The sequence below is a fragment of the Homo sapiens genome, chromosome 16, assembly GCF_000001405.40.
Source record: "Homo sapiens chromosome 16, GRCh38.p14 Primary Assembly".
Lineage (NCBI taxonomy): Eukaryota > Metazoa > Chordata > Mammalia > Primates > Hominidae > Homo > Homo sapiens.
Window position 1 is genome coordinate 4,085,116 of NC_000016.10, and position 12,672 is coordinate 4,097,787.

General features: G+C 44.5%; 1 protein-coding gene across 3 annotated transcripts in view, besides 3 other annotated features; it reads right to left on the minus strand.

Moving 5' to 3' along the window:
• ADCY9 (adenylate cyclase 9) overlaps positions 1-12,672 on the minus strand; it is a 163,056-nt gene that overhangs the window by 131,729 nt on the left and 18,655 nt on the right. The gene's annotated exons all lie outside the window — the stretch shown is intronic.
• Positions 311-1,034: an enhancer, noted in NCBI's record as "H3K27ac-H3K4me1 hESC enhancer chr16:4135427-4136150 (GRCh37/hg19 assembly coordinates)". NCBI's record gives its function as "activates a minimal SCP1, AML or CMV promoter by ChIP-STARR-seq in primed H9 embryonic stem cells {active_cell/tissue: H9 hESC(primed)}" and the evidence as "EXISTENCE:reporter gene assay evidence [ECO:0000049][PMID:30033119]".
• Positions 473-767: a silencer, noted in NCBI's record as "tiled region #1446; K562 Repressive non-DNase unmatched - State 21:Repr". NCBI's record gives its function as "represses a minimal TATA promoter and a strong SV40 promoter by Sharpr-MPRA in K562 cells {active_cell/tissue: K562}" and the evidence as "EXISTENCE:reporter gene assay evidence [ECO:0000049][PMID:27701403]".
• Positions 9,033-9,327: a silencer, noted in NCBI's record as "tiled region #10289; K562 Repressive non-DNase unmatched - State 21:Repr". NCBI's record gives its function as "represses a minimal TATA promoter and a strong SV40 promoter by Sharpr-MPRA in K562 cells {active_cell/tissue: K562}" and the evidence as "EXISTENCE:reporter gene assay evidence [ECO:0000049][PMID:27701403]".

The following is a 12,672-nucleotide window of genomic DNA, read 5'->3' on the forward strand; positions in this document are numbered from 1 at the left end:
CTTTGGGAGGTCAAGGTGGGCAGATCGCTTGAGGTCAGGAGTTCGAGACCAGCCTGGCCAACATGGCCAAACCCTGTCTCTACTAAAAATACAAAAATTAGCGGGGCATGGTGGCGCATACCTATAATCCCAGCTACTTGGGAAGCTGAGGTGGAAGAATCACTTAAGCCTGGGACGCAGAGATTGCCATGAGCCGAGATCGCACCACTGCACTCCAGCCTGGGCGACAGAGCAAGACTCTGCCTCAAAAATGAAGGAGAGAGAGAAGGCACCAGGTTCCAAAAGAGAGCCGCACCAAGTGTGTGCACCCAGCCCCCAGGAGCCCTCCGTAAATGTGTGTTAAATGAATGTGTGTGTGAACACCATCAGCTGAGGTGGTATAGAAAAAGCAACTCCTGGTCAGAGCAGGGAGGAACTCATCTAAAGGGGAGGCTCCCAAGAGCTGCAGCAGAGGGTCACCAAAGGAGGGGAACTCCATGTGGGATTCCAACCCTGACTGGTTACATGGAAGTGAACAGGACCTCGTCGAAGAGGGAGAGGTCTGCGTTGCCTCCAAGCAGTGCTTCTTGAAATGGTATCCCCCCAGCAGCCGCCTCAGTATCACCTGGGAACTTGCAGGAATGCACATTCTTGCCCCACCCTGGACCCGCTGAGCCAGACTCTCTAGGGTGGGGCCCAGACGTCTGTGTTTTGACTCAGATGACATCGGTGCAGGCTCGAGAGTGAGCTACTCTTCCAGGGACAACCAGTGTGGTCCTTCCACCCATGCGTGTCCAGGGATGACCAGTGGGTGCTGGTGTTCAGGGTGGTGTGCGGACATCCATTCATTTATTGCATAATTATTAAAAAAAAAACAACACTCGCTGAGTATCTACTGTGCCCTAAAAAATGAGAAAGACTCCGCTAATGTGTAGGCAGTCAACCAGCCCTGGTCAGCGTACTCACAGGTAGGCAGACGGCCGCGCGGAGAGCACCAAGGGGCAGAAGGATGCTGCTTGGGGGTGGGGAAGGTGGCGACGCAATGAAAACAGATGAAGGACAAGGAGAAAAAAAATCAAGTGCTGCCAGACACTGGCACAAAGCTGGAAGGGAGGTCACATCTATCGAGGGGGAGGAGGGCAACACAGGAGGAGAAGAGACAGGGAAACCGCCTCTCCGGTGCCTTCCACAGAGGGTCCATTGCAAGCAAGTGGAGAATCAGCCACATGCCATGTACTACGTGGCAGGGGTGGCAGCCCGAGCCCTGAGATCGGAGAGCCTATCCCATGTGACGCATGTCAGCCACACATCACCCAGGCCTGTGATGAAGGACAAGCGCACGCTCCGCTCTGATGACACGCGCAGCTGGCACGGACCCAGGAGGGATCATGGACGTGAGGAGACGTCAGTGTCCAAAGAGGGCCCATCAGCCCAGAGAAAGTTGACACAGAATCATGAAACATAATCTACTTAGGGGACAGCTCACTCTCAGCACCAGTACAAAATGTAGATTTTATCCATTAATACTTCCATAATTAGCTCAAAAAAATTGGACTGTGTTTTTTATTTTTATTAATTTTTTTAAGACAGGGTCTTACTCTGTCACCCAGGCTGAAGTGCAATGGCATGATCTTGGCTCACTGCAACCTCTGCCTCCTGGGTTCAAACGATCCTCCTGCCTCAGCCTCTCTAGTAGCTGGAATTACAGGCATGCGCCACCACGCCCGGCTAATTTTTGTATTTTTAGTAGAGATGGGGTTTCACCATGTTTCCCAAGCTGATCTCAAACCCCTGACCTCAGGTGATCCGCCCACCTAGGCCTCCCAGAGTGCTGGAATTACAGGCGTGAGCCACCACGCCCAGCCCTCCAAAGCTTCTTCATTCTCCCCTAATCAAGGTGCTGCTCCTTCTTCAAATCCTGCCATCCTAGGAGCTCACCTGAACCCTATTCCATTCTGATACTGCGCCCTACATCCCAACAAGTTATGTCTTTTACCTGCATTCTATTAATGTGAAATCCACTCTGGCTTTCTTGGTGAGCGTTTCTACATTTACCTGCACCCCTCATGAAGCAGGGAGTTTCCTCTTTTATGGTGAGGTTTTGTTTTGTATGGAGATTCGTTTGTTCTGTAACATCTCCTTCTTTAAGAACAAGGAAGGCCGGGCACGGTGGCTCACGTCTGTCATCCCAGCACTTTGGGAGGCTGAGGCAGGCAGACTGGTTGAGACCAGGAGTTCGAGACCAGCCTGGCCAACACAGCAAAACCCTGTCTCTATTAAAAATACAAAAAATTAGCCACATGTGGTGGCACATGCCTGTAATCCCAGCTTCTTGGGAGGCCGAGACATGAGAATTGTTTGAACCCAAGAGGTGGATGCTGTAGTGAGCTATGATCACATTGCTGCACTCCAGCCTGGGCAACAGAGCGAGATTCCATCTCAAAAAGATAAAAAAAAAAAAAAAAAAAAGAAGAACAACAACAGCTAAGAGTTTGGCAGAGTTTACTCTGCACAGTTCAGGGAGGGCACTGAGTCTGTGGGCATAAACACTCAGTCCCTCGTGGGATGTGCTGGATCAAATCAGATCCTTTGCTCAGATACTACAGTCCTGAAGCAATCCTGTTACTATTTGCTCGGATACTACAGTCCTGAAGCAATCCTGTTACTATTTGCTCGGATACTACAGTCCTGAAGCAATCCTGTTACTATTTATTTTCTTTCTTTCTCTCTCTCTCTTCCTTCCTTCCTTCTTTCTCTTTTCTTTGTTTCTCTTTGTTTCTGTCTCTCTCGCTCTCTCCCTCTCTTTCTCCCTTTCTTTCGTTTCTTTCTTCCTTTCTTCTTCTTTTTTTTTGTTTTTTTGCGACAGAGTCTCACTCTGTCACCCAGGCTGGTGTGCAGCAGTGTGAGCTCAAGCAATGCTCCTGCCTCAACCTCCCCAGTAGCTGAGACTACAGGTATGTGCCACCATGCCCGGCTAACTTGTTACTATTAATGAGGCCTCACAGATACCTTGATCTCATGGAGGAACTGCCTTGGGAAGTAGATATTAATATTCCAGCCACTGGAAAAGTACATCATATTCCCCAAAGTAACTTAATACACTGGCACCTGCTTTATACATCGGTCTCATGGTCAGCATGAATCACAACTCCTAAACTCACACAGTTCTGAAGACTGATGGAAATGAAGATTCTGGTTTGTTTTTGTCTTTGTTTTAGATAGGGTCTTGCTGTGCTGCCCAGGCTGGAGTGCAGCAGCATGATCTCAGCTCACTGTAGCCTCAACTTCCCAGGCTCAAGCGACCCTCCCACCTCAGCCTCCAGAGTAGTTGGGACTACAGGCACGTGCCACCATTCCCATCTAGTTTTTGCATTTTGCAGCGACAGGATTTCACCATGTGAACCAGGCTGGTCTTGAACTCCTGAGCTCAAGCGATCTGCCCACCTTGGCCTCCCGAAGTGCTGGGATGACAGGCATGGGATTCCAAACCAAGATTCTTAATCTCAAAATTATGAACAAGATCCTGAAGCTCGGTGATCACCTCAGGATCTCTGTCCCTCCTAAGAGGCTGTAACAGCACCGTCCACCTCATCCCTCTCCGCTCCACAATCTACAAAATCTCTATGTCCAATCTTATCTTGCCAATCTACAACTGTCTTGTACTACAATATACTCTAATTGTTAATGTTGGTCTGGTAGGTTCGCTTTTCATAACAGCTTTATATAGAGAGAATTCATATACTGTGTAATTCTCTCGTTTATAGTTTATAATTCAGGGAGGTTTCGCACACAGAGTTGTGCAACCATCACCATAGCCCATTCGAGAACATTTTCATCACCCCGAAAGGAAACCCCATCCATACCCATCGGCGGTCACCTCCCATTTCCCTTCAGTTTCCCCAGCCCTGGCCATCACTAATCTACTTTGTGTGTATGGATTTGCCTGTAGTTCTAGAGTTCCTAGAAATGGAATCATATAAAACGTGGCATTTGGGTTTTTGTTTTGTTTTGTTTTGAGACAGAGATTGCTCTGTCACCCAGGCAATCTCAGCTCACTGCAACCTCCACCTCCTGGGCTCAGGTGATCCTCCCGCCTCAGCCTCCCGAGGGGCTGGGACCACAGGTGCATGCCACCATGCCTGGCTAATTTTTGAGTTGACAGGATTTTGACATGTTGCCCAGGCTGGTCTCGAACTCCTGGGCTCAAGCGATCGAAACGTGGCCTTTGTGGTCTGGCTTTTTTCACTGGGCATGTTTTCAGTATTCGTCCACGTTGTCACATGTATCAGAACTCCATTCCTTTTTAAGGCTGAATCGTATGCTATCCTACAGAGGTGCTACGTTTTGTTGATGTGTTACTTGTTTTGTTTATGTGTTCATCAGCAGACAGGCATTTGGGCTGTTTCCACTTTTTGGCAATTGTGGATAATGTTGCTATGAACATTCCTATAAGTTTTTGTGTGGATGTGTGTTTTTCACCTCTTAGGCACAAACCCAGGAGTGGCATGGCTGGGCCCTACGGTAGCTCCGTGCTTAACCTTTTGGGGACCTGCCAGACTGTCTTCTGCAGCAAGTGAACCATTTCACGTTCTCACCAGCCGTAAAGGGGAAAGTCTGGGAGGCTCCCGAGACAAGACCATGGTTTCTTCGTGCTCACATCTTCAACCTCCAGCAGGTACTCCAAAATTTTCCACCAGTGCCTGCGTGCCAAGGTGGCTTCCAAAGAGAGAGCAAATCAAGCCTGGCCACAGGGGACCAGGGCACTTCCCAGAACAGTCCTCTCCCTGGTGGGATCCTTTTGTTCCCTGGAAAAGCCAACCCCCCTTAATCCTGGGTAGTTTTACCTACCCACAGGCTTGAATTACATCCTAACAAACAGTAAACCACACTTGCTGGGACTCCGTGGGCCCGAGGGCTGCTTAACAGCTTGGCAGGCATCCCCGGCAGCCACTGTGACCCAGCTGCCCTACAGGCCATTCCAAGCTCCCCCAACAAGGGCACTTTTCAGGTGAACTCATACAAATGTGTGCCGAGCGATACCCCTGACTTGGAGGGGACTCCAGCTGAGGTCAGCCCTGGAGCAGGCCCCCCACGCCCTATGGATACTTCCAAGCCCAACTTAGCAAATACAGCTGGAGGCGTCCAACCTCACCCAGTTGTTCAAGGAGGGACCTTGCCCCTTCCTTTGCCTTTAAGGATGAACAGATTTTTTTTCTACTTAGAAACTCAATGTGTTCCTCTTCTATCCTAAACACTACTGATGTTCGGTAATGCAGACATGTTTACATGCTATTTCTTGTTTTAACAACATGAAAACAAAATAAAAATGAACTATGAACTGATGACAGTGTTTGGGAGTTGAGCTTTTTCTGTGGCCAACGCTGCTTTTAAAAACGTTCTATATTAAGGAAGTGCTGTGGGAACACTGCTGGCCGTGGAAACCGTCCCACCTCCCTGTGCTCCGAAGCCAGCCAGCAGGCAGAGTCCTGGCTGGGCACGAGACGCTCAGGGCTCACTCGACCCCACGGAAACCAGAGGGAAGCCTAATTTTATCACGCTGTATTTAGACGGTGTGGATTCATTTGAACAAGGAAGTTCCTAGAGTTGTTGAGATTTTTTTTTTTTGGTCAATGTTTAAATACTACTTTTTTTTCAAGCTTGCCCTAGATACCAACTGTTTATCTAACACACAATTCCAGTGTTGCCAAGCCTCATGCCAATTTGAAGGGAACAGCCAAAACTTATGCATTCATATAAAAAGAGTCTCTAGGCTCTTATATCTACATTATAATTTTTATCCTAATCACAAAACTATTCCGAATGGTAGTGAACAAAGTAATTATTTCAATCAAGAAACATAATGGCCAGCCACATCTATGACCAAATTGACCTAAGCTTTCAGATGTTTTCCAAAACATCGGACTGCCACAGGTAACTTTTTACAGGGTCTTCATATAAGTTCCTATTTTATTATTTTATTTTATTTTATTATTTTTTGAGACAGAGTCTCACTCTGTCACCCAGGCTGGAGCGCAGTGGCATGACCTCGGCTCACTGCAACCTCTGCCTTCCAGGTTCAAGCGATTCTCCTGCCTCAGCCTCCCGAGTAGCTGGGATTATAAGCACGCGCCATGATGCGCAGCTGATTTTTCTATTTTTAGTAGACACGGGGTTTCACCCTGTTGGCCAGGCTGGTCTCGAACTCCTGACCTCAAGTGATCCTCCTGCCTCAGCCTCCCAAAGTGTTGGGATTACAGGCGTGAGCCACTGCACCCAGCCCAAGTTCCTCATTTTAAAAGTGGCAGAGGTTTGTCAAAAAGTTAAACAGAGTTACCGCGTGACCCAGCAACTCCATGCCCAGGTATGTGCCCCAAAGAACTGAGAAAACAGATACTCAAACAAAAACGTGTACACGAGTGTTCCCAGCAGCACCATCCACAATAGCCAAGAGGCAGAAACAACCCTAATGTCCATCAATGGAAGAATGGAAAAACAAAATGTGGTTTATCCATACAATGGAATTTTATGCACCCATAACAAAAAGGAGGTACTACTCCATGCCACAACATGAATGAACCTTGGAAACATGCTGAGCGAGAGAATCCAGACACACAAAGCCACGTATCCTACGATTCCAAGTATAAGAAACGCCCAGACTCGGTAAATCCTGCAGATGCAAAGTGCAGCACAGCGGCTGCCAGGTGCTAGGGCTTGGGAGCTGGGAAGTGGCTGCTTAGTGGGTGTAGGGTTTCCTTCTAGGGGTGATGAAAACGCTTCGGAATTAGACCCAGGGGATGGTTGCACAACACTGTGAATGTGCGATATGCCACTGAACTGTTCACCTTAAAAATCATTAAGTTATGTGAATTTAGCTTCAATTAAAAATAAAGCAGGCTGGGTACTGTGGCTCACGCCTGTAATCCCAGCACTCCGGGAGGCCGAGGCGGGCAGATCATCTGAAGCCAGGAGTACAAGGCCAGCCTGGCCAACATGGTGAAACCCTGTCTCTACTAAAAATACAAAAAATTAGACAGGTGTGGTGGCGGGTGCCTGTAATCACCGGTACTTGGGAGGCTGAGGCACGAGAATTGCCTGAATCCAGGAAACGGAGGTTGCAGTGAGCTGAGATCGTGCCACTGCACTCCGGTCTAGGCAACAGAGCAAGACCCTGTCTCAAAAAACAAACAAACAAAAGAACCAAGTAGGAAGAAATGTGGCCAGTTCCTCCTGGGCAGTGTTGTACAGAACACACCAAATTTCTACAGTGACTCCTACCAGACGTTTCTTGGGAAAGTAAGCAAAGTCCTTTCCTGAAATTCTGGTAAATTTTCATAAAAATCAATACTTCCCTAATTTAACATTCACATTTTAGCTTACAGTATAACTAGTTATAGAATTGTTCATTAATTCTAATTGACTTTCGATTATACAATCTAATATCTAATTTCCATTTTCTATTTCTAGTACATAAGCAAAAGAAATGCCCTTTTGGTCTTATGGAAAACGTGTCCTATTTAATAAGACACAAATTTGATTCAAATTTCTCTTTCTCCTCCTCCCCCTTAATAATACACTAAAAATAACTGTAATAACATCTTACACATCCTGAACGCCTGTACCTAGCAACCTCACTTACTCAGACTATAGCTGACAACTAAAAACCTGCACAAAGGCTGACTCCTTAGCCCTTTCCATCAAACGATATCTGCAGGCTGAACGAGCTTAATTACTTGTTGGTTTGGTTTTTTAATGTAACGAAGTAAAAACCAGGAGCAAATGTGATACAGGAAAGCACACCAACAGCTACATACATGGATAGCAAAAGAAGCCAAAAAAATTATTTTTTAAAATGTAAGAACTGGAAAAACAGAATGATCTCAGTTTTTTTAAAAAAGCAAAGATTCCTATTTTTATAGAGAAATTGCTATATTAGTAAAAGCCAAATAACAAGAGGCAAAAATAACTGAGTCATCAAGAAAATTACCTCTTATTTGGCACAGTCCATTTTTATGAAAGTGCTTTATCTATTTCAGAAACATAAAATCAAATGTTTGAATTGGTTAAAACAGAAAATTATCTGATTGATTAAAAGAGAAAATCCTCTGCTCTTCAGAAAACTCAACCATCCAGAAAGTGCTATCACTGACATTTATATCTAACAACATGGCAAATGAGGTTGGTTTCATATTCAACCATTTGCTGTCCCCGAAGCTCTCTATTAAGGATCTGGCTGATCAGAAAACTTAATATTTAATCAACCTAGAGCAGGCCTAGAAAAGAGGCTACTGTTTAAAAACAAACAACTGATTATATAAAACATTTACATCAAATTATAATTCAGTATTAAATCTCATGGAATCACGCCTTTCAGGAAAACGTCTGGACACTAGTGAAAATGAAATGGCTAAATCTCAATCAAAGTATATTATTAAGTAATAAAAGATTTTATCATTCAACTTTTTTTTTGTCTCTACATAAAAAAAGTATTTTTGTCTCTACAAAAAATACAAAAATTAGTCAGTCGTGTTGGCATGCGCCTGCAGTCCCAGCTACTCAGGAGGCTGAAGCTGGAGAATATCACTTGAGCCCAGGAGGCGGAGGCTGCAATGAGCTGAGATCACGTCACTGCACTCCAGCCTGGGCGACAGAGCCAGACGCTGTCTCAAAATAATTAATTAATTAATTGTTTAAAAAATCAAAGAATAGCTTAAAATTATTACTAAGCTAAGAACCTTGCTGCTATTACTTGTTCAGGAAAGCTCCACACACCATAGGCAGTGGTGCTAAATGCAACAGAAGCCTTAGTGCGAACTGGAACTTCTCCCAGGAGTCTATGGAATTGGAAACTTAATAGCTACTAAATACAGTAACATCATGACTGGAGCTATGAAAGCAAACATTTCCATTTGAACTTCAAGTGGCAGAAGGGACAAAGTTGATACCTTAGACTCATCAGCCCTGAAAGTGTTCCTAATCACAATTTCTTTCAGGAGCCAGAAAGAACACAGCGTTAATTATGTTAATCCAGCTGAGACGTTCACTATGAAATGTGTGTTAGAGAAAAGTCCTTTGAAATTTCTTATTTGCATGGTAGTTCTGAAAGTTTTTAACCTCCTGCAGTTCCTGGCACACGGAGTCAGTCACTCACTTGTCCTCAGGAAGCACAGGACAGCAGCAGGTTCGGAATCACACTTTCTCTGTGTGATTTCACAACTCGGGTCTTTGTCCAGGTGAGATTCTCACTCGGGTCAGAGGGCAAAGGTATCCAATGACAACCCTGTCCTTCAGAACCAAGTAGTGTTTTCCCATCAGCCGTGCAAATCACAGCAAATGTCATGTGGCTTTCCAGCAGCCTCTTTGCTGTTTGTTGAGGAAGGATAAGAAAACCATGGAGGATTAAAATCACCACATTCAAATTACTATAAAGAAAAGGAGGCCAGGCGCTGTGGCTCACGCCCGTAATCCTAGCACTTTGGGAGGCCAAAGTGGGACGATCGCTCGAGGCCCCGCAACACAGCAAGACCCCCATCTCTAATAAGAAAAAAAAAAGGGAGAAGAAAGAAAAGGAAAAATGCAGACAAGCCAGAAAATAAAATTGAGGAGATTAATACAATATAATAATCAGGCACTGCAGATCACACCTGGAACACCGCCTCACCCAGGCAAAGGAGGAAAAGCTTTCATGTGTGCTCATCATTTGAGCAAAAAGGAAGAAAACACACACAGAAACTCAGGAGATCCAGAAGAGACACTCTGAACAAAGAAAATGGAAATGACAGGGAACCAAATGATCCACATCAGGGATTTTAAGAGGGAAATTATGCTTCTGAATGAAAAAAATAAAATCATTCAAAACTTTTTATAAATCTTTGACAAAATCCAAGAGTTTCCTTTCAATGTTGATGACATTTAATTTTTTTTTTTTTTTTTTTGAGACAGTCTCTGTCACCTAGGCTGGAGTGCAATGGCGCAATCTCAGCTCACTGCAACCTCTACTTACCAGGTTCAAGCGATTCTCCTGTCTCAGCCTCTGAGTAACTGGGATTACAGGTGCGCACCACCATGCCCGGCTAATTTTTGTATTTTTAGTAGAGACAGGGTTTCGGACGTTGGCCAGGCTGATCTCGAACTCCTGATCTCAGGTGATCCACATGCCTCAGCCTCCCAAAGTGCTGCGATTACAGGCGTGAGCCACCGCGCCCAGCCCTCTAATTTCTAATTACAACATCTAAGGTAGACACTTTCCAGATGCATTAATGTGGGGGACAACTAGAGGACTAACACGTCCCCTTGCACACTCAATATAGGGCCAGTAGATCCAGAAGCTCACCGTCAAGAGCAACAAGAGCAAGCAAGTCCTTCCTCAACAGAATCATCGGTAAGAACACTGTCAGTCCAGGATTCACTCAGTCCTACGAGTGAAAAACTTGCCAACACAGTGAAATTCATTTTACTGGCAACTAACCTTCCAATCTCTCTCTAAAATAATGTTCACATGGGAACTGAAGCACATTAAAAAAATAATAATTATTCACTTCACATTTTCTCCAAGCCATTTCAAAAGTGTTTCTCAGACTTTCAAAATCAAACAGGATTCCCAGACCAGGCACCATGGGTCACGCCTGTAATCACAGCACTTTAGGAGGCCAAGGCAGCTGGATTGCTTGAGCTCAGGAGTTCAAGACCAGCCTGGGCAACATGATGAAACCCCATCTCTACAAAATACACAAAAATTAGACGGGCATGATGTTGCATGACTATAGTCCCAGCTACTCGAGAGGCTGAGGCACAAGACTCACTTGAACCCAGGAGGCGGAGTTTGCAGTGAGCTGAGATCACGCCACTGCACTCTACCCTGGGTGACAGAGCAAGACTCTATCTCAAAAAAAAAAAAAAAAAAAAAATCAAATGGGGTTCCTCTAACGATACCCTGCTTTATTCAGGAAACGTGATCCTCAGGAAACCATGTGTAAATTATACTTCTAGAACTCAATCTTACGTATTTATATTTAAAGGAAGTAAAGAATCTTTTATGAAGTTACAAATCTCACACACGCCCTGCAATTTAGTGGCTCTATAAATCGGAGCTTCCCTATGCTAAATGTGTCTAAATGAGAGTTCGTAGTTGAAACAAGAGGACAAAGAAAAAAACACTTTTCAAATTAAGAATGAGCACTATGTCCCAATCACGTGAGAATCTCAGCTATACTTAGACAATGGTGGAGATTTTAAGCATATCTATCTCAAACTTTATATTTTACCAATATGAAAAAAGCAGAACCAGAGAGATTAAATTATTTGCCCAAAAGTGCTTGTTAGTGGAGGAAATGTATTAAGACCAAAAGCTAATTTACAAAAACAAATTAAATTTTCAAATAAGATCATGCTATAAAAGTGCTTCCCTTTCAGAAACCACCCTCACCACACCCAGTTTTTAGGCAGCTCATTCACACACACAAAAATCACATTAATGAACATCAGAAGCAGTGGCCTTTCCTTATGGGAAAAAGAACTCATTTATGAAGTTCCAGAATGCGATGCAATCCACACTTTAAATAGTAACACAATAGGGTACGAACTAACTGAATCAACATGCAATAAACACTTTCACTTAAAGTGTCATAGCCTTAATGGTATATTGCATTTAATATCCATACACAAGGAAATAAATCACACGCATGTGGGGTTTCTTCCTTTCTCCAGGCTAGAGTGTTAGAAAATGTAGTTAATATTTCCCAAACAACTCAAACACGAAAATAAATGATTCAAAAGCTGCTTTTTCCCCGCTTTGGAAGGGGGAAAAAAAAAAGAACAGATTTTAATAGCATTACATAAAAATCCTGGAAATTATGCACAAAGACTACCCTGGAGCTTTGCCAGAAACAGGCATGCTGGTTTTCCATGTGTATAAATGGTAATCAAATAAGAATTACCAGGAGCTACAATATTATTAAGATAAATATACTTCTTGAAATCTCCATCTTACAAAGCTTAAAAACAATTGCCAGAACTAGGCCGTTCAACCCCACATTTCCTGGGCCTCCCCTAAGCACTCAGTCCTCTGTGTTTCTGCCCTGCGCCCCACGCCCTCAGCGCAGCACCTCGGAGCCCACAGTCCCAAGCTGTCCACACTCTGGCGCCCCTGGGCCCATTCACATTCCCAGGCACCATGCGCTGGTCAGCCCTCTCGGCCACCACCTTTGCTAGAGCCTATCAAGACCCTCCGGAGCCTCTATTTAATGAACCACTCAGTCATTCCAGCAAAGCGGTTACTGCCTTTCCTCTACCTGGAGGCTTGTTCTGTGTAGATGTTTGGGGTGTGGTTTCACACATAACAGGGTACTCACATGTGGAGTTACATATATATATATATATATATATATATATATATATACACACACACACACTATATATATGTATAAATACATATGTACATATATATATATATATATATATATATTTTTTTTTTTTTTTTTTAAGACAGAGTCTTGCTCTGTCATCCAGGCTGGAGTGCAGGGGCGCAATCTCAGCAACCTCCATCTCCTGGGTTCAAGAGATTCTCCTGCCTCAGCTTCCCGAGTAGCTGGGATTACAGGTGCCCACCACCATGCCCAGCTGATTTTTGTATTTTTAATAGAGATGGCATTTCTCCACGTTGGCCAGGCTGTTCTTGAACTCCTGACCTCAGCTGAT